The sequence below is a fragment of the Homo sapiens genome, chromosome 5, assembly GCF_000001405.40.
Source record: "Homo sapiens chromosome 5, GRCh38.p14 Primary Assembly".
In the NCBI taxonomy this organism is placed as follows: Eukaryota; Metazoa; Chordata; class Mammalia; order Primates; family Hominidae; genus Homo; species Homo sapiens.
Genome location: NC_000005.10, coordinates 89826739 through 89849054, shown reverse-complemented (window position 1 = coordinate 89849054; position 22316 = coordinate 89826739). Strand labels below are relative to the sequence as shown.

The following is a 22316-nucleotide window of genomic DNA, read 5'->3' as shown; positions in this document are numbered from 1 at the left end:
ACCGTTTCAAATAGCTAGAAGGAGGATATTAAATATTCCTAACACAAAGAAATAATACATGTTTCAGATGGTGGATACGCACTAGATACGAATGAAGACATCACTATGTACCCCATAAATAGGTACAATTATTATATGTCAATTAAAAATAAAATTTAAAAACGTAAAGAAATGCACTGACATTGAGACTTGTGTTCTGGTCTGGTGTAGCCACCAGCTTCCTCTACTTTGGACAAGTCACTTGATCTGTCTAGTTTATAGTTACATCCTCCGTAGTTGAAGAGCTGGAGTCCCATGACTAGAACTCTGGGCTTATGAAGAGTTGGGGTCCCATGATTCCTTTTAGCTCTTAGAATTTTATGAAAAACCATCAAGATAATGATGGTATCCTTTTCCATCTCAAATTAATTATGCAAGGTCTTCAGACCTGTTTAAATAATATTGTGGCTTATATTTATTAGAGATTCTTTTATGGTACTTGCTTTGAGTTAAGTTTTAAAAATTATTTTTGTTAAGGTTCACTTGTGTTTTCTTGTTTGAATTTAATACCTGATTTGAATTGTCCCTGTCTCCTAAGTGATTGTTCACTTTCCTCTTTTCTCTGGGTCTTCTTTTCAAGGCCACAGCTTGAATATCAGTGACACAAATGTCTGAATAGCTCCTAGAGTACTTAGGGGCAGTACACTCTACAGCTATTTGAAATGCTTAGTTCTTCCTGCTGCCCATTCTGCTCTACTATTTCCTCTTTTCGTTTCCATCTCTCTTTCTCTGCACTCTGATGCTCAAAGCCTTCCTGATTTCCAGAAGTGTTAAGAGCACTGCTCAACAGCAAAGCCAGTATTCCAGAGCAGAAGGATGCTGTCTCCTGCTCTAAAGGTAATATACGGGAAGTGCTGGAGCCAGTGCTCAGCCCAGTACTTGTCACAGAACTGGCAGTTATCAAATGGAGCTCCTTTTCCCTAAGGGTAGACATTTCCTATTCTACTGCTCTAAATCTTGTTCACTGATCATGGCTTTTCCTAGGTTTATAATAAGATTACAGGTTTAGTCAGCACTAACGAGTGGAGTGGGTGGATGAATCAGACATATCTGGGATCTGTAGTTCTTACATGTCTCTGTTACCTTGTCCTGTCCCAGAGCAGCTGACGTGGCCAGTTCTGTTTGAGCTCCAACATATTTCACAAAGACAATCTGACCATGCCCACTTACTGCCCGGGGGCTTCCTTGCTGATACTGACATATAAGACCCCAAAGGAGCTGCTGAGCATTTATGTGAGTACAATCCGGAAGTCCAGATGCAGGGAGAGGAGGAACAGAAGACTGGGAGCTAGAAATTTCCGCTCTGAAGAACAAATCTATGACCAATGGAGGCTAGATCAAGTGGGTAAATTTTTCCCCTTTCCTAGACCTAGAGAGAATTACCACTTTGGTAGTGAACATGTGGGATCTTTTTCACTTGATAAAGTGAGTTGCATTTGATACCAGCTCTGTAAAACATCCAATTATTAGTTCTTCTGTTCCTCTCTGGCTCACTCCTCTCTCTCTCACTTGTATTTGCCTGGGTTTGCACTCTAATAAAATATTCAGACTGAAGTTTTTGTTTCAGGCTCTGCTTCCTGGGGAAATCAGACTAAGATATTGGTCAATTTAGACAATATTCATGAACACATAGAATCATTTATGATCTGGTGAGTTGTAATAAAATGCAATATATTTTGCACTATGAGATATTTAAGATAGTGGAAGATTATGGAGGTCAGATGTATTAACTAGTTATCAGTTCCTGCTCTAGGCCCACCATAATTTTCTTAAATTTAATGCTCTATGGCACGGTAGAAATACATTAAGATAGAAAAAGCAGTACACATAAATTCACAAGGATTTTCTCTTTTCAGTTTTGTAGATAAGAAAGAATGTTTCCCAAATGTGAAGGGCAAAAATATTGCTGAAACCAAATCTGTTTTTTATACTTATTTTTAAAGATATGCTCACATTAAAATGCTTCTTGCTATTTCTACAGAGATAGGTAGAAAGATTTTGGAAATGTTGCTTATGAAAAATGTTTCTAAGTTAATACTGGTAAAAACAATCCAGTCTTTTGTCTATACAACAGTTTGAATTTCACATTTGCCATCCTTATCTAAACAGATTTTTAGAGAAAACAATAGATATTCATGTATTCAACAAATACTTGTTTTGTATCTGTTCTGTGCTATGAACTGCTTTATGTGCTGAAAATTCAGCAGTGAACAAGATAAGCCAGGTCCTTGCTTTCATGGAGCTTATGTTCTAGGAAAAGGAAATAGACAAAACAAAAGAGCACACAGGTAAATGAACAAGATAATTTTTAAAGGTGACAGTGCCGTGAAGACAATGAAAGAGAGGTGGTGTGTAAGAATTGAGGGAATCTGTTTTAGATTAGGTAGTCAGGAGAGATCACTGTGGATGTGATTTGAGCAGTGAATAATTCCTAGAAGCTGACTGTGCGAAGCCTGGGGTAAAGATTTCCAAATGATGGGCAAAACAAGTGCAAAGGCCCAACAAGGGAAATGAGTTGGTACAGACCAGGAGAAGAAGGAACCTGCTATGGTTTGAGGGTAGTGCTAGGAGCTACTGTGCTAATAAATGATATCAGAGAGGTTAGAAATGGCCAGAATCTCATTTTAGGTCAGATTAAGGAGTTTGAGTTTATTCAAAATGCAATGGAAATCCATTGAAGGGTGAATGACAAAGAGCCAGTTTCATAGTACTCTTGCAGCAGTTGGAATATTAAAATAAAAAAATCTGATGATTACTTTTTAAGATATCAGAATTAAGAAGTTTGATCAAGAAAGTGATATAATCTGATTTATATTTTGATCACACTCTGCTAGGGGCATTTTCCCACTTCAAGTAAAGAGTAGAAGACTTATCTGGATATAGGTCCCTTTACCCACTCTTCTTTATATCATTGTTGCTTAAATATTTCCTCTACTTACATTGAGAACCACATCAGACAATGTAATTTTTCTTGAACTGTCTCAATATAATTTAGAAAACTCAGAAGAAGAAAGATAGTTTGTTTTAGTGATCCATTTTTTGGCTCTTTTCATAGTTATTTCTTCATTCTTAATGTTACAATTTCCTTCTTAATTCATTTCATTTATGTTGGAAGAACATTCTTTTAGAGTCGGTCTGTTGATGACAAATTGTCTTAGTTTTCCTTCATCTGAAGATGTCTTGATTTTATCTTCATTCCTAAAAAAGGAATGCTGGGTGTAAACTTCAGGATTGACTGTTTTTTTGCATTTCAAAAACATTATGTCCCTTCCTTGTGGCTCCTGTAGTTCAGGATGATAAACCTACTGTCATTCAAATAATGACTCCTCTGTAAGTAATGTGTCATTTCTTTCACTGTTTTCAAGGTTCTTTTTTTTCTTTAGTTCTTTGAGGATGGTGTATGATATATCTTGGCATGGATTTCTTTGGGTTTATCCTGTTTGTGGTTTACTCTTGGATATATAAGTTTATGTCTTTCACCAAATTTGAAAATTTTTAGCCATTATTTCATCAAATACTTTTTCAGCTACACACTGCTTATTGACTTCTCAATAATATGCAAGTTAGATCTTTTTTTATTGTCCCTCAGCTTCCTGATATTTGTTTATTTCTCTTCAGTCTAATTTCTCTCTGTTTTTTGGATCCAGAAATTTCCATTATTCCACCTTTAAAGTTATTGATTCTTTTCTCTGTATATTTATTTCACTATTGAGTCAACCAATGAGTTTTAACATTTTGATTACTGTATTTTCTAGTTTTAAACTTTTCACTTCTCTTTGCATTTTCTATTTATTTGCTGAGATTTTTCTATGTTTTTCATTTGTTTTAGTTTGTATGCTATAATTAATTGAAGCATTTTTATGATACCTGCTTTAAAAATCAGCTATCATAATTACAACATTTGTATCATCTTAGCATTGCCATCAATTGATTGTCTTTTCCCATCCCAGTTGAGATTTCCTTTGTTTTAGGTTTAGTGAATGATTTGCAATTGTATCCTGGACATTTTGGGCATTATGTTTGTGAGGTTCTGAATGTTACTGAATGTTCTTTAATTCATAGGAAATCACCATGCTCAGGTGTAACATGCAGGTTCAATTGGGAGTGGAGAGTTAGCTCCCTGCTTGAGATCTGCTGTCCCAACTCTGGCATAAACAAGGTATTAATTTTCATCACCTTACTCTGCCTCATTGTGGAGGGTGGGTGTGAAAACTTTGCTGCCTGCTGGTCTCTACTGACACCTCCCTGGTGAAAGCAGAGCTTGCACTGCCTCATTGCTTCCTGCTGAGGGTGAAAGTTTTGCTCCTTGTTGAGTCCTGCTGACACTGGCAGGGCTGGGGAGAAGTGAGGTGCCAACTAATCTTGCTAGTTTCACCACATTGCTGCTGGGTGGGGTGGGAATTCAGCTCCACAGTGAGCCTGCTAACATCAGAGAAGTGATTTGTGTTTTTAAAAATCACACTGGTTCTGTGTTGAGTATGGATTGTCTTGAGACATGCAATAATGCAGGAAAATACAGGGAAAGGTGGCTGTCAGTCAAAGTGAGAGACTGGTTTCCATGTAGATCCACTTTAAACTTCTAGGAAACTAAATGCAATAATTCTTATCATTTCAAATAAGGCTCATGTCATGATGCCTTTTATGATGGGGAGCATCTTTATTTGTATTTAGATGGAGATAATTATTCGGTTTGAAGTTCATATAGTATAGAATTATTTTCTTCATTCCATGCAAGAATTAAGGGGTGTCACATTATTTTTCTGGGAACAGACTGAATCAGTGAATTAACATGTTCTGTGGCTCATTCATGGTTACATCAGATTTCACTTAAATAAAATTTACCACAAGTAAGTAAAAATATTATAAAAGATTATAGAATGACAGTTAAAAGTTTGGGCTTTGGAATATGGCATACCTGGATATAAGTCCCAGCTTCCTGATTTATAGATATGTGACTTCAGAATATGCATTTAACGTCCTTAAACCTCACATTCCACATCTGTTATATGGGTTTGAAAATACCCATTTATCATAGTGTTGTGAAGGCTAAGATGTAGAGAAAAAGGCTGTATTGTTATATTTCATTCTTGGAAGTAATTATAGAATGATTTTTTTTCTTCTGAGGACATTTTTATGATTCATGATTTAAATAATTTCCTCAAAGAGAAGAAAGATTATTCAAATCAGTAGTGCATTTGTGTAAGATGTCATACTGCCGATATATGTGTATACAAACAAATAGAAGGCACCTAATGATTTTATATTGCACTGTTTAAACTTGTAGAATTATAATTTTTGGAGAAATTAAATACATGATTTTTTTTTTAACCAAGTTCAGTGGGATTGATGCTCAAAGAATCGTGAATAGAACTAAAGGCAAACTTAACCAAGTTGGGCTAAGCTGGTCTTGGTTACACAAGACTCTTGGAGTTTATGTCTATCACTAGAATAATTCTAATTAGGCCTATGATTTCTAAAAGCCACAAAGCCTTTCTGTGTCTCTTTTTTTTCTGTCTCTGGGATGGCAGTGAGGGCAGTTATTGGTTTTCTGTTTGCCACACTTGATTAGTAAGCCAGTGTCTTGGGTTCATTTGTGTGCTGATCCTTTGCTTGTCTGTTGATGAATGGAGTTTAAAGAGGATGAATTTGATTCTCTTTCTCTTACTTGACTAAAAATAACAAATATTTAATAAATTCATGCTATAATCAAGGCACTTTAGAAGCATCCTTTAGGATAGTGAGTTATCACATAACTGTCCCTGAGACAGACTATTTGACAGTCTCTTCAAAATCTATTCCCTCCCTCTTAATATTGTCCAGATGTTCATCTTCCTCTAGGCAGCCATGTGCTCAGGAAAGGCTGGTTCTGCTCTCCTTTTGGTCAAAAAGAGGCTTTTAATTTGTCTAACCAATTTGATGCCCCCCTTCCTTTGCCAATGATGGCTTAGACATCAGCCTGTGAGACAATTTTAGTTATTAAATAGTCTGCTGCTAGGTTCCTGGGAAGGGCTTATTTATTCGTAAAAGGAGGAACAAAAAATGAATGTCCTCCCTCTTCTTCTGGACATAGTCCTGTTTAGATGTGAAGCTCACAACTATTGCAATCATCTTGTAGACATGGGAGGAGAAGGTCCAAGAACAGCCAAGAGTCTTCTGATGATGGAGCAGAGGTGAGCCACTCTCTGAACCAACCCAGCATCACACTTTGTCTAGGTTTCCTGTATTTTTTAAGTACATCTTCTTGTTGTGTAAGCCAGCTGTCAAGGTTTCCTGTTACTTCCAGCTGGAGGTAAATTGAGAAAGTCCCCACATTCAAAACGAACTAATAAACCACAGATGGAATGCAAGCAAAGTGAAAATAAAATTCCATAGTGCACTATATGAAAAGTAACATGAGGGGAAACTGAACTCAAGAAATACTTTAGGATTTTCTGCTAAAATGACATCTATTGCCTCTGTCTAAATCAAGTTTTTTTCCCCTGATGCTTTATAGCACTCTGTTTACCCTTTACCTATACCATTTACATTATCACTTATAGTATAGTTGCATGTGATTGCCTTAATTTTCTAGCATGTAACCTGGAAGGCCTATATTTTTGCTGCTTATACAAGTGTGTACTGTTGTACAAGTAGGAACTGAGGAAGCACTTTTTGAATGAATAAATAAATATTATACAGGATTATAGAACTTCAAAAGAAGGTGAGGCCAGACTTATCCAGGTGAAGAGAGCAAATTCTACTTTTTAAATACAGTTGAGTTTAATGGGAAAGGCATTTCAGAAGCATTTGAAATGTGCCTTGAAAGATTAATGAGGTTTGAATAAATAAAAAGAAAAGCCTGGGGAGGGTGTTCTAGGGGGAAAATAAAGAGACAAAAGGGATATCTAAAGCAAAGTTGTAAAATTGTCTAGTTTTTATGAGAAGTAGAAGTAAAACTGGAAAAGTAGTTCAGAGTCAAACTGGAAAGATCTTGAATTCCAGAATGAAAAGCTTGTCATTGCCCTCTAAGAATTATAGAAGAACTAAAGATTGAAACAGAAGTATTAAGTTATACAAAAGTGACGTTTTATAGAAATATTAATCTAAAATTCCTCCTTGCCTACCCTTTGCTATATGAATCTAAGGGCCTCTTTACAAATTTCCCTTATGACTGGGTACCTTCTAGTTTCATACATCAAACCATACCATGATGGGGCACATTTTCTGAATATAGAGTGTTGCTGATGAATATGCGTGATCATTGAATACAATAGAACAGAATTCAAGTAAGAATATTCTCTCTGACCCTTCTCCTCCCCTTTGCTTATTTCTTTCCTCCTTCAGATCTCTCCTCATTCCAGGCCACTTTTTACTGTTCTTGCTGGGTGAGTGAAGATATGACCCTCTGCAGTGTAAATAGAGCTAGCATTGCCATCAGATACCTGTAGTTCAACATTGGGCATGGAGATATAATATCAATGGAATGCTAATGGAAGAACGAGCAGAACTTTCAGAAAACTAAAAAAAGCAGCAATATCATAGAAGATATGGACAGTGAGAATTTTTAACGTTGCTACTAAGTTTAATATGGAATTTTGGGGAAAAAAAATCAGGACTCTGTGGAGAGTGTATCAAATGTGGACTTTTGCACAGTATAGGTCTTGTGGCATTGAATGATATTAAAACATGTTAAGTGATGGCTGGTAGGCTAAGCAATGTAGTCTGGTTACAAGCCCAAGAATACCTAGGCATAGTCCCAAGAGAAGTTTGTAATCAAATGCAGCTTGCAGAGAGAGTTTCAAATCTTACATGATTTTCATAATGAATGTTTTGGATTATCACAATATGTTTTCCTATGCTCATTTTCATCTAGATGGAGGGGGGATTTCAAGAATCCATGCCTTATACTTTTTATTTCAGTTCCTTAAGGTACTCAGAATTTCCTTGCCAGAAGGATCCATGTAAAAATTAGAATCCATCTTGAAATTCAACTAAAGACTGCATCCCTAAGTTGTTTCAAAAAATTGAGAGCTGAACATATTGTAATCCTCAGAGCTGTCCCTAGACAGACAATATTGCAGAAGTTTTTGCCCATGTGTCTTTGTTTTGCAAATGAATATGCAACATTACATTAGAGCAACAAAAAATTAATCTTGGAATCGAAGAACCTAACAAATGTTGAATTGAAAAACAAGTAAGTTAACCTTAGAGAAAAGGAAAAGAAACATTTAGTAATTTATTAATGCCTCAAATTTTATAGTGATTTTTCCGTTGACAGTCAAGGGAAAGGGGAAAGAACTAGAGACTGTGTATAGAATTAAATGCTGTTTTAAATGAATATCTACTGTTGTTCCTGTAAATACTATATAATAAAGCTAAATTATTCAGATATTACTGAGAAATGTATTCTTATAAAAAGCACCAGGCACATAGCCAATCTCATTTCAAAACAACAAGGCAAAAAATAAAATAAAATTGTACCATTTACAGAAACCATGGCTTAGAACACCTCTCATGACCAGAATTGTTAGAATTCTAGTATAAAAATGGGTGGAATTATTCTTTACAGTCTCATGGAAATATTACTATGAAAATACCTTCTTGTTTCATGTGGTATTGTGGATAATCTGGAAAACTTTATTTATTTATTTATTTTGGTGAATCTATTTTTGTCTCTTTAAACTATATTTATAACAGCATCTAGTTTTCTTCCTAATCATCTAAAATACATGGTCTACCCTTGGTTTAAATGCTAAAAACACATGACTTTGAATTTTCTACAAAGTTTAAGAGTAACAGTGTTTGAAAAGAGACTTATAAATCAAACTAAAACTTTTTTTACTTAATAATTTAGTTTAAAATGTTCACACTGTTTCTATTTGGATGGCATTACTGAGAAAGAGATCTATTAATAAATAGTTCTTTCTATGAAATATCCAAATGGAACACGGTTGATAAATTACTAGCTTTGCCTTCATAGTCTTGGAAAAGAAAACCTTTTGCATTCTGCCTTGTGATACCTGCTGGCTGATGGTAGAAATGGTTGGACTAAGAAATTACCTTCATCATTTTCCACACTCCATAAATGAGGTCAAATGGCTCTAAGGTTTGTCTCTTGCCCCTTCTCTTTATTGCCTTTTCACTGATCTAATTTCTATCACTGCCAGCCTCCTTTAGTATTACTACTTCCGGTTATGACATTGCAGGCAATGAAGCGTGCTACTGAAATTTATTCTCTTGTTTAATAGATGTTTCCTCTATAATTCCTTCAACTTTCTAAATTGATTTGACCATAACCCATTACAAATGAGAAAACTGGCATACAGAGAAGTTCAGTGTTGTAGTCCTGTATCTTTAGTGGCCAAGATATAACCAGAATTTACTTCTCTTACTTTTTTTTTTTTTTTTCCTTTTTTCTTTTTTAAGACAGGGGATCTGCTGTATTCCTGAGGCTGGAGTGCAGTGGTACAATCTCAACTCACTGCAGCTTTTGTCTCCCAGGCTCAAGTGATCTTTCCATCTCAGCCTCCCTAGTAGCTGGGATTACAGGTATGTGCCACCATGCTCAGCTAATTTTTAAAAATTTTTTGTAGAGATGCGGTCTCACTCTATCGCCCAGGCTAATTCTCTCACTTTCTAACATGGCTCTCTTCCCATAGTGCTGCTCAGCCTTCAATCAAATGAAGTAAATGGATTTTGCTGGAAACACAGTTCTTGTGAGAGGATGTCTTACATTCAGCTCTATATGCTGACCAGCATGTTCACTCTTCACTCTTTTCCTGTCGTTCCCACTACTCTTTGAGGCAAAACAGCATTTACTGTTGCACCGAAGACATATCCTGCGGACTCAAGTTTGAGGCTATTTCTCCCAGGCCTGAAAAAACCTATCACTAGCATAGGCATTGTAGAGATCCTTTCAACTTTTAACAATAATTTTCTTCTGAGTAATCAAATTCTGAGTTAAAGTTGGTAGAGAATTTCAAAGAGCAGAGAGCTGGCAGGTTATATTGTTTTAAATATTGTATTTATATATCTGATATACATATAGATAGGCTCAAGAATTGCCTGTCTCCAAATCATGTATATTATTATTGCTTATTATAGATTTAATGCAAAGGTGTTTAGTAAAACATTTTTTCGTGTTTATCTAAATTTGGAATATTAAACAGCTTTAGAATATTTTCATTTTCATTAATTTTATTGGTTATTATGGAAATAAATCTAAGTTCAGCTGAACAAACATAAGATATATTTTTTAATTCCTATTATAAACATTACTTCAAAGTTTAAAAATTTCTCATGTAATACCTATTAGCTTTTTGGGATTTCCTGAGTTGTACTTGTAAGTCTATTCGTATCTACTGTGCCTATGACTCAAAGAGAAGTCAAATAAGGAAGAAGCTCCAAAAATAAGTATGTGTTAGTGGAGGATAACACACACCATCCTAACTTTGTTTCTCCTGCATAATTTTCTGACTTTTCGGTATTTTTTCATTCTTTTAAACTTTTGATAACCTAGTTTGTTCAGTTTTGAATCACATATACATACATGGTTCTTTGTATGCTTGTGAATGATTTTTAATTCTGAAGCTCTTGGATTTAAACATGTTTTTCTTTTAAAAAATAAGGTTCATCCCCAGTTTTTATTTATTAGGTATAATATCTAGTAATTTTATTTACAAAACTTTTACTTAAAAATGTTTATTAAACTAATTATTAATTTTGGGGAATTTAAGCTTTGTTGCATTTGAGAACTTACTCTTACAGAAAGAATAGAAGATCATCTGAAACCAATTATCTATAGTGCTTATATGACCACTCCTTCGTTTACTGCTTATTTTTCTTTCTTAGCTGGCTAACATGCTAAAGATCTGTGGCAAATTGCCTTTATGAATAAAACTGTGGATTGATCTTTCTATCACCTATCTTATGAAGAGCCTGCAAATGCTAGATATTAATTGAGTCATGAAAAATAGTCTATTGCTAATGGGGTTTTCATCTTTCTAACTTTAAACACGCACAAAACACTTTGGAAAAAGTACAAATCTCATTTGGTCTGAAAATAACATGCTGTGGGTCAAAATTTTCTACTTTCTTTATCTGAGAAACTATTTGGGGGCTAGAAAACTGATTTCTCTTTAAATTCTTTATCTATATATCTTTGAATGCCAAATTGAATTTCCTGCATAGTCTACCTATCTCATTAGCTCAAAATTACCAAAAGCTGGTCTTTTACACTAGCTTCTAATTACTTTTTCCCCTTGTCATGGTCCTTGTTCAGGGTGGAAATAACTTTTTTTCCAAATAGGACTTCCATGATTATAGATTGAGAAAGTTAGATGTTGCAATAGCCATAGAGATTACTTTCCATTGCATAAATGAAATAGAAATTTTTGTCAAATATTACAGCAGATTATAATTTTCTTTAATTATTAAAAGCTTGTTTTTATTGGCTTATTAATTTTTTCCACTGAATTTTCAAATTTATCAGTGTAGTTGCTACATTATATGCTTGTTATCTTTTTCTTCATATATAAAATGGAGTTTAAATATCAGAAGCCATATGTTTTCCATCTTAAAATGCAATTAGGAACTGAGAAACACAAAGGATGTGATTATTTTGTAAATATTGATAGATGACCAAATATTATAATGTTAATTGCTAACATGAAATACAGGAAGTGTAACAAAATAATCAGAAAAAAAAACAGAGGAGAAAGAAGAACATTTTAAAAAGGAAGAAGAAATATTGTAACCATAAAACAAGAACAGGGTACTATAAAAATGGACATAAAGAAAGCCAAAAAAATAAAGCAACTAGAAATTTAAAATTTAATGAGAGAAAAAAATATGTAAAGAGATAGTTGGAAGAAGTTGAGAAAATCTTCCAGAAAATAGAGCAAAAATGTCAACAACATTGAAAACAGGAGAAAAAAAATGAGAAATTTACAGGACCAGTCTAGTAGGTCTAATACCTGAAAAATAGAAATTCTATAAAAAATAGAAAAAATGAGAAGTAAAACATTAATTATTTTCTTGTAATAAAACAATTTCTTTTTTCAGATTGAAATGGTTCCTGAGGTTTTATATAAATGTTGGAATCACCACACACCAAAACAATCATCACAAAATTTCATAATCAAGGATTCAAAGGAAGAAATAGTATATATAGTTTCAGGGAGAAGAAAGAAACAAAATAAAGCAAATCTACTAAAAGTAATCAGAATAACTCTGGACTTTTCAAGGTAACATTGAACCTAAAAGTCAATGAAGAACTATCTTCAAAAATTTTCTAAAGAAAAAGAATGCCCAATTAGAAGTCTACGTAGCCAGGTATCAATCATCGGAGACTCAAGACTATTTTCAACCATTCACATTCTCAAATAACACATTTCTTTACCTAATAAGATATTGGAGAATGTGTTCCACCAATCAAATGAATAAAACAAGAATAGTGAACACATGAGATTTGGGCAGCACGAGATCCAGCACAGAAAAGCAGTGAAAGGAAGACTCCAGACTAAAAGCTGTGCACTACTTGTACAAGGAAATTAGCTCTGAAGGGTAAATCTAGAGGCTCCTGGAAAAAAATCCTCTTTAAGCAGTTGAAACTGAATGCCTGACACATCTGAACATCTAAAGAGGAGATTTAGTAATTGATAGAGTTTGGAGCTCAATTAGTAATGAGTGTAAAAAGAACCAAGCAAATGAATAAGATATATGCAATAACTAGGGAAAACAACAGAAATATGCAATAACTAGGGAAAACTAATTGTATTAATCTGTTCTCACACTGCTATAAAGAATACTACCTGAGACTGGGTAATTACAAACGAAAGAGGTTTAATTGACTCACAGTCCTGCAGGCTTAACAGAAAGAGGTTTAATTGACTCACAGTCCTGCAGGCTTAACACGAAGAATGGCTAGGAGGCCTCAGGAAACTTACAATCAAGGCAGAAGGTGAAGGGGAAGCAGGCACCTTCCTCACAAGGCGGCAGGAGGAAGTGTGTGGGAGAATGAGTGAGTATCACACTTTAAAACCATCAGCTCTCATGAGAACTCACTCACTATCATGAGAACAGCATGGGGAAACTGCCACCATCATCCAATCACCTCCCACAGGGTTCCTTCCTCCACACATGGGAAGTATGGGGATCAAAATTTGAGATGAGATTTGGGTGCGGACACAGAGCCAAACCGTATCACTGATTATAGTCTATTACACAGCTCAGCTTAAAGAAAAAATTTATTATTGTAATAATGTATACTCTGAATATTAATCTAAAGAAGTTACAATGTAACTTCCACGGAATATGGTGAAATTGTTCTAAATATTAGGGGGTGAGCGGTTGAGAGGAGAGAATGCTAAATGCTTGTGATCTGCAGTGGAAGTATATAAACAATACTTAAAACTGAGAACTCAAACTCAAGAAGCAGCAAAAAAGATTATGTTCTTTAGAAATATGGTAAGTTATGCCAAAATAATCAGGTGAAAAGTAGAAACATGGTGATATATACCAACATAATTGGCTAAGAGAGATAAAAATTGTGGCTATGGAGGGGGAAAATTGGAAAGTAGAAGTGGGGATTTACTAATTTTCATAATAAAATTTCTGGGCCAGGTGCAGTGGCTCACACCTGTAATCCCAGCACTTTGGGAGGCCAAGGCAGGGATAACTTGAGGTCAGGAGTTTGAGACGAGCCTGGCCAAAATGGTGAAACCCTGTCTCTACTAAATACAAAAAAATTAGCCTGGTGTGGTGGTACGTGCCTGTAATCCCAGCTACTTGGGGGGCTGAGGCAGGAGAATTGCTTGAACCTGGGAGGCAGAGGGTGCAGTGAGCCAAGATTGCGCCATTGCACTCCAGCCTGGACAATAAGAACGAAACTCCGACTCAAAAAAAAAAAAAAAAATTCTGGGACTATTTGGCTCTTTTAAACTCTTTTGAATTAAAGATTTTATAAAATTAAAACTAAGGAAAAATAGAAATATGGAAACTAATCAATACAAAAATCCCAACAAACCAACCACATAAAATGCAATATTTTTAACATGTTTTATTATACTAGAGAGATGGTCACACTATGTTGTCAAGGATGGTCTTGAACTTCTAGCCTTTTAAGAACCTTCCAACTTGGCCTCCCCAAGTGCTGGGGTTACAGACATGAGCCATCAAGCCCAGCCTGGAAGATATTTTTAAGGCTCATGGTTAAAGCAAGGAAAGATAATTGGATACACGTGGATCTCTCAGCCAGTTGAAAAACTTAACATAGTGCTTATCTGTTTATTAAAAGGCTTTGTTTTGAAGTCACCTAGGGCATATTTGAATGTGGATAACAGATTACATTCTTTTAATTTTTTTTTTCTTATTTCCTACCAATGAGTAATACAAGATAAACATGTGTTCTTGTAAACCACCTTGAATTTTGGGGGCAATAAATCGGGGTATAAATGAACAGTACTGACATAAGACCTATTAAGTATTCAAAACAAAACTTGCAAATATAAAACAAATGGAGGGAAATGAGATGTCTGGTACCAACAATTACAATATGGATTTAGGAAATGAAAAAATAATTATTAGATCCAATAGCAGAGAATCTAAAATTATTTAATTAATACTTCAAATGACCATTATGTGGTAACTTTTGTGCTTTGAGTTATATCGGCACAAAATATAACATGCTCTTTTTTATGAAGGCAATTGAATTTATGTATGAGAGAATTTATTTCATTTAATAATTACAAAATACAGGACAAAAACCAAAATTGTAGAATAAATGAAAATGACAGCAGAAAGAACACTTTGTGCAGTTTGTGAAGAAAGTGAATATTTTTGGAAGAGCTATATTTGGAATGGGACTTAAGGAGGGGAGGGATTTCTGGATGAAGAGGAGGCAGAGGAATTTACAGATGAGGTGGGAAACATAGGTGAAACTCATCAAACTGGAGTAAAAGGCACACATTGGCAAGTCACGGAAAGTGATACAGTTGGGAAAAAATGATACAGGTGGGACCAGATTATTAAGGACTACAGGTTTTACTATACTAGATACCAGAAGTTATTTTAGGTTCTGTAAATGCACAATTAATAAGATTTTTAAGAAGTTAGCTTGGCAAATAGGTATAAGGAAAACAGAGAGGAGAGAGTCTGGTGGCAATAAGATCAGGTAGAGATTGTATGTATGAATTGATGCAAGTCTTCATTATAGTGGAACTGCAGAGATAAGTGTAATGAAACATTGAGAATTGGTAATACAATTTACATTTATATCTATGAAATTGGTTCAGAGAGAAAGGATTATATCATTAACTAAAATGGGTAACTTCAGATGGAGAGTTTGATGAAAGGTGTTTGTAAAGAAATTATAACTCATGTAGCCAGTTAATATCAACATATTTAGAAGACTGCTTCTCACCCTCCGTTTCTCTGGAGTGCTAAAGATATCTGATTGATCACTTTTTAAAAACATATTTAATGAGAACGACTGTATAGATAGAGGCTGGGAAGTTATACCAGGTTTTCTGTGTGAAGAGGATGATCTACAGAAAGATAAAGCTGGGGAACTGCCCTACCTATCCAGAAAAATCATATCCAGTCTCAAGCAAACGGTTACTGAAAGTATTGTCATTGTAGCATTTAACTTTAGTTGTGCAGATAGTAATGTTAGGTTGTATATCTGTTTAGCTGGCTTAGACATGGCCAGTTTTTCCATTGGTAGGGGTTTGCAAATAAATTGTACCTTTATTTAGTCTTGTTTCATCTCCATGGATTTGTGGTCACGATGATACCTATACAATTAAATGCAACCAAGCGCTTTGTATGCATATAGTTGATTGCCCTTGTTTAAAAATGTTAGGACTCTGAGATCCTTGTGATAAGCTGGACCCAGAGGTTAATTAGGTAGACAGTAATTTGATCACATTACTGCAATTGAAGTTGATGGCAAGCATGTGGCCACAATTCTATTTAAGATTTAAAATATGTATATTGCAATCAAGAAGACTAAACCCTGCTCATATCGTGCTACCTGTACTGGAAGAAGAAAGAGGTAGAGTGAAGATGATGTTGGGTTATGGGGAGGGTGAAGAAAGAGCGAGGAAAAGGCACTTCTCCACCCAGCCTCTGGGGCATCTTGTAAACTGCAAGGATAGGGAGCTTTTTTTGTCTTAGAGGTACAAAATTTTAACTTACAACATTGTGTTTCTTTTTATTTGGATGGTTTGTCTAAATTTGGTTTATTCAGTATAGCCCCAGACTATTTTGTCTCTTTGAACTAGATGAAATAATTATAGCTTTTTCCCCCCGAACAATAAATAACAAATCAAGCAAACCTGAAAGACTTGTGTTTTTCTATTTATTTCTTTTGTGTATTTCTAAAAAGTATGAAACCAACTGCTGCTTTCTTCTAGTGGTATCACATATTCATAAGATTCATATCAAAAGAGTTACTAAAGTTTGACTTGTCTTCCACTTCACATTCTAGTTTGATGAGAAATATTCCTGAAGACCATTAATCAGGGATACATGCTGCTGTGTGGTGAGTATGGAAACTTATAACACTATTTATTATGGCCCATGACGGGATGGAGCATGTTTACTTTTTGGTGTGTACAGTGGACACCCTACCAAGGAACTGTTTCTCAGCTGGGAATTTTAGCGTCCCTAACTCTGACGTGCCCTTTAGTACCAGGTCTGAGCAAACTACCTTGAGGAAGATTAATTCCATGTCTGCCTGTGATATAGACATGGAGAAACTCATTTTTCACAGCTATAAGCATCCATCCAGAGGAGTCAGAATAAGAAAAGACAAAATGGAGCTATCACTGTGGAATGAGTGCAATGGGTAGACCTGAGATAACTCTTTGAGCTCCCGTAAGCAAATACTGTCAGGAAAAAGGGTTCTGAGGCCCTGGAATTTTGCATACATTAATTTATTCCATAATTTATAGTCAATGACTATTCATCAAGTGCCCACAATATACCTTGTGATATAGCAGTGAATAAGACAAGCTTCGTCTTTAGGGAAGAAGACCAAGTGTGGGTGCTGAGTTACTGGAATGCTGGTTCTAACATTTACTTTGTTGATACGGCAGGCAGTTAGAAACAGGATATACTTTATCTACTACATATTCAAAGAAAAAAAAACCTGGAAGTAAACACAGAAAATGTTAACATTGGTTATTTTGAAATAATGGGATTATGTGTGATGTTTATTTTCTCCATTATTTCCTTCCAAATTTCTAAATTTTTTATAACATATATTATTTTTATATTCAAAAAATTGAAAGCTCCAGTAAATGTTTTCCCTTACAGTGTGGAATCCAAATGTTCGAGCTAAAGTTACCAGTAGGGCTCACAGGCCAAAGTGAGTTTAGTCTGGGACTCAGAGTTTTTCCCCAGAGTCCATCTGGGCAGAGCAAGGACAGAGGCATGGTCTCCATGTAAATCATGAATTAATGTCAAGCTGGAAAGAGTAGTGGGAGAGAGCGAGGAAGGCAGGACAATTCACAGCCTGAGTCCGGGCTGGGTCAGGGCTCAGGAAGGTGTCAACTCAAAGTTCCATCCTGAGCTTTCCCAAGCCCATGGCCCCTGATTGGCAACTCTGAAATCCAAAAGCTCTGCAACTTTTCAGAGCTTTCTTTTCATTCATTTGACAGTAAAATCTAATCTGACTTCTACTCATTTGGTGGTAAAATTTTACCTTAACTTACATCATGCTGTTTATAGGCCACTTATAATTGTGTTTAATTTTTAGATGCTGCCTCAGGCATGCTGGAGTTGTTAGATAATATGTATTTTATGTTCCATGTGACCTTTCTAAAACCTACAAACATCTGATTCTGAAACATAAATGATCCCAGGGCTTTAGAGAAGTTATTGTAGATGTACCTGTCTATTTGACATTTCTCTATATATACACTGAAGTCACTTCCAATTCACGTTTCCTAAAACAGAACTCAGCTTGCCCTTCAAACCTGCTTTTTTAGATGTTCTATCTCTGTTCATTTTGTGGCTATACTCCCAGATACAGAAACATAAAACTAATATCTTAGTGAGACACTTAACTGTTAGAAATATTTACAGCTGTTAAGTCTTCCAACAGGACGTACTATCCCCAAACTTTTATTACTCCAATATCTCATTTGCATTCCTGACAGACTGATCATCCTGAAACGTGGTTACCAAACCTTAAGTAGCATCCAGCTTTCTACCAAATTAATAAAGCACCTCACCCTGGAATTAAGGACCTCACCCCACCATATGCTCCCAACCTCACCTCTCTAATAACCCTCTAGGGGATTATTTTTTTTTCCTAGAGCATCTTAGTCTATTCTCCTTCCCTAAACATATTTAGATTTTCATATTTTAGTGACTGCTTATACCATCTCTGTCTCCTGGAGTAATCTTTAATTACATCAATTAATATCTTATATTTTCCAAGTGAAAACAGCACCTCCTCCATGAAGCCTTCTATAGTCAGCCACAAGTGACTTGCAATCCTTTGAACTCATACTATATATTAACTACCTATTCCATGTGAAAAGTATATCCAGCCTTGTTTCGTCTATATTCGCGTATTAGCGAATACCTGCTTAATCCAATAGCAGAGCATATAGTTGGCCTTCAATATGTGAATTTCCGTCTACCTAAAGATGTAGTATTGTTAATATCTAGTATCTCCATATTCCCTATAGTGCTTATAGTACATGCTCAGTGTCAAACACTGGGATGAAACTACTATAAAAGTGCAAAAAGTGGACTCCTATACCAAGAAGTAAAATCTTCCCCTAAGATGTATATGATATTCTGCATTAACTTATGAAAGCCCCACAACCACAATATGTGAGTATAATCCTTTGCCTAGAGATGTTATTTTGGTTAAGAAGTCTGGAAATTTCATGAGCTCCAAGAAGGCTTTCTGAAGAGCATTCTGTAAAGCCCCTGCAAAAGTTATCTTAGCAAAATTTCCCACACCAATTAAATGTGCAAAAATGGCTTACATGGAGATTAACCTCTGGGTTTAAGGGTAAGTTGACTTCCTCATTTTATTTAAAATAAGTTACTTCCCACTGGATTGAAAAGCCAAATAAGGTCAAAAATTGAATTCACTAGAGGCTGCATGTTAAGAAAAGTATGTGGCAAAAGCATTTATTCTGTAAAGACAAATTTAATCCAATGATATACAATCACTTAAAAATTAAAATGGGCATTTGGAAGATAAATAAAGGGCAGGAATAAATTATCAAGCATGGAGAATGAATAATGATAATTTTATAACGGATGTTTATCCTTTTTATTATTTACATTTTATTAGTGATTGTATTGAAAAATTATTGTTAAAAAATACGTTTTATCCAGCAGGTCTTCAGTGATGAGGGAAACAAGGTATTTTCCAGCAATTACTTTTGTTAGTTACCAGTTTGAAGCTTTTTATTATGTTCCATGCACAGAGAAAATGATTTCTCTAGAGGAATCTGATCCCACAGACACAGTTCAGAATACTGAAGTCTTTGGGCTTTCTATACTAGGCCATTGAGTTATGCCTCGAATCCTTTGGGAGATGCCAACAAAATGTCTAGGTTTAAAGTTCTTCTGTTCCAGCTTCCATGGGTCTGTTGATAGTACTCTTATTATGCAATAGAATTGAGCAGTTTTAATAATGTCTCTTCTTTTTTGAAATTTTATCTTCCCTTGGATTTCTGATCTTTCCATTCTTCTGGGTCTTCAACCTTTTAAGGCTGCTCTTCCACAGGGCTCTTTCTTCTCAAACCAATGAAATCCCTTCTATGTACCTACTCCTCTCCTTTGGGAAACCTCACACACTTTAATGATTCTTAAATGTGTGTCCTTAACCTTATCTCCCTTTCCTAAGAAGTCACATGACCGGTAAATGGTGAAACTGGGATTCGAACCCAGACTTGTATACACTAAAGTCCAATTTCTCAATCATAACACTAACCCTGTAGGTTATGTTTCACTATCATCATTGCTGGCATTTACTGAGTGCCATGTTTTGGTGATACTATGTGCCAGGCACTGGGTTTAGATCCTTTACATATGCTATGCTAATCTTCATAATAGGCCTTTGGTATTGTTCCAATTTCCCAGGTGAAATTTTATGCTGTGGGTGTGGTCCATCAGAATTTAAGGACTTGCCATTTGCATTTTCAGTAAGACCTCAAAGGCAGGCATAGTTATGGAGCACAGTTACATGCTGCTTTAAAACATTAACACGCAAACTCAAATGTCTACATCAATAGAGTAGGTAGCATAAATAAGCAAATCAAGCTTTAAGACAATAGGGACTAGTGAGGACTGTGGAAAATTAAGAGGTTATCCCCCACCTGAAGTCATTCAGGTTCAATTTGTAATGACACTGTGCAAGTGAGCATGTAAGCCAGCCCACAGGTGCACACACATACACACATACACACACACACACAAACACGTAGGCATGCACACTCCGATGGAGAGTTTGCAGTCCCTTCAACTATCACTTTCCCTTTTCTTTCACAAGCAAAAGTTATTAGGTAGAATACATAGATCAACAAATACATACTTCCATTTGGGGGATGAATGTGAAGTAATCGGTTCGCATGTGTTCATATTTAGACTCTTAAGACTAGTCTGATAAATGTCTGATGATCACTTTTCAGGAGTGTCTGCTTCATTTGAATTGTTTCATTTAGGTGGTAATGAAAAAACAAGCTTTAGTACTTTCTCAAAGAAGAAAAAACAGATCATGAATTTCTTTCTTCTTTTATCAGATGATCATAATACATAGCTTGAGAGCACAGCAGTTATCTCTCCACCTGAGGACTGACCCGAGGCTCCACTTTGAGAGTGCAGCCTGGTGCTCACTGCGGCATGGACAGTCAGCAGGCCAGGCAGAGCCCGCCCACCCGCACTGCAGAATGCCATGGGTGACTCCCTTGCTGCTTGGTTTTTTAGCACTGGCAGATGGGACCTCATTGTTTCAAAGTTTCGCTTTGGAAAATTCAGACATTAAGGGTTAATCTACATTTTAAAGTAGTCGTCTTTGAAGGAAATTATGCTATAAATGAGAAACCTGTGTGGAGTTCTGGGTTCTTTATGTTAGCTTTGGCAGGGCCAGGAGACTGTTTTGATGATAGAGCCAGCATTGGAAACCTGTATTTTATCTCGCAGGAAAACGAAGCAAATTTAAAACATTCCGCATTTGCCTTTTGACACCCCATAACCAAAAGATGAACTTTAATTTCTGGGAGGCCTCCCAGTGATTAATGCCTTTACGTTTATGACGTGAGAAGAATGAGCCGTATGTTACAGTTGGTCTTCTGTCCGTTTCTGAGGAGAGCCTGTGCCAGGATTTTGATGTGCACTCGCGTTCTGGCACCAGGCTGCACACTTCTCACCCAGCACAGAGCCAGCTCACAGATCCTGTTCGGCACAGCGACTCCAGACATACAGCATGAATTTGAAGGCGGCCTCCTCAAATGTGGCAGGCACAGTCTCCCTCTTCCTATTTGGAGCCTGTCTGTGGGGCTAGGACCTCTCTCAGCTGCCTGTAAAGCGGCCTTGGAGAGCTGTTTTTGCTAGCTACTTACTGCGACAGTCTCCGGGAAGGTGGGGCGTGGCCCTCCAGGGCAGCTTCACGATTGTTTTCTGTTTCCTACCTTTACTGGTAAAAGGGAACTGTTACTTTTCTCTTTTCATATGTGGAAATCGCATGTTCCGCTGTCTTGGAGGGGACAGTATTGGAGTGAAGACCTTTGGGGCCTTCTTTAATTCCTGCATCTCCTGTGGGAGACGAATGACATTCACTAAGCCCACGTGTGGTAGCTGTGAATGCTGTCTACCAAAGATTTTTGATTCTCCTTCACTTTATGGCTTCTGTTACGATGGTACTTCCTCTTTCGTGTGTAGCCACACAACTTGCTTTGTTCAATAAATATGGATCAAAAGTGGCATGTGTTACTTAGGACTGTAAACATTAAGAGCTGGTGAATAAGTTTCCACTCTCCCTTCTTGCTGCTGCCGTGACTGAAGAAGTCCCAGGTTGAGATGAGGCGTCTGTCAGCCTGGGTCCCTGTGAGAGTCTGAAGAACAGAGCATCCTTGCCCACCAGTGTCAGACAGATGCCATGAGGAAAAAATATATGTGTTTTTGTTAACCACTGCGACTTGGGGATTGTTTGCTACTGCATCATAAGTAAAGCCACTGCCCTGAAGCTCAAACAGTACAGAGACAGGCCCATCTCCTTCTTGTTTCACTCTTCCTTTTTAGGTATCAATAACATAGGTGAGTTTCTT

At 36.2% G+C, this 22316-nt stretch overlaps 1 long non-coding RNA gene across 1 annotated transcript; it reads left to right on the top strand.

Annotated features, from left to right (window-relative positions):
* The first annotated feature begins 1270 nt into the window (after window positions 1-1270).
* On the top strand, window positions 1271-21971 carry LOC124901184 (uncharacterized). Its single transcript, XR_007059135.1, has 4 exons — window positions 1271-1380; window positions 9445-9567; window positions 16508-16561; window positions 20793-21971. It is a non-coding gene; the product is annotated as an uncharacterized LOC124901184 (long non-coding RNA).
* Window positions 21972-22316: the final 345 nt, after the last annotated feature.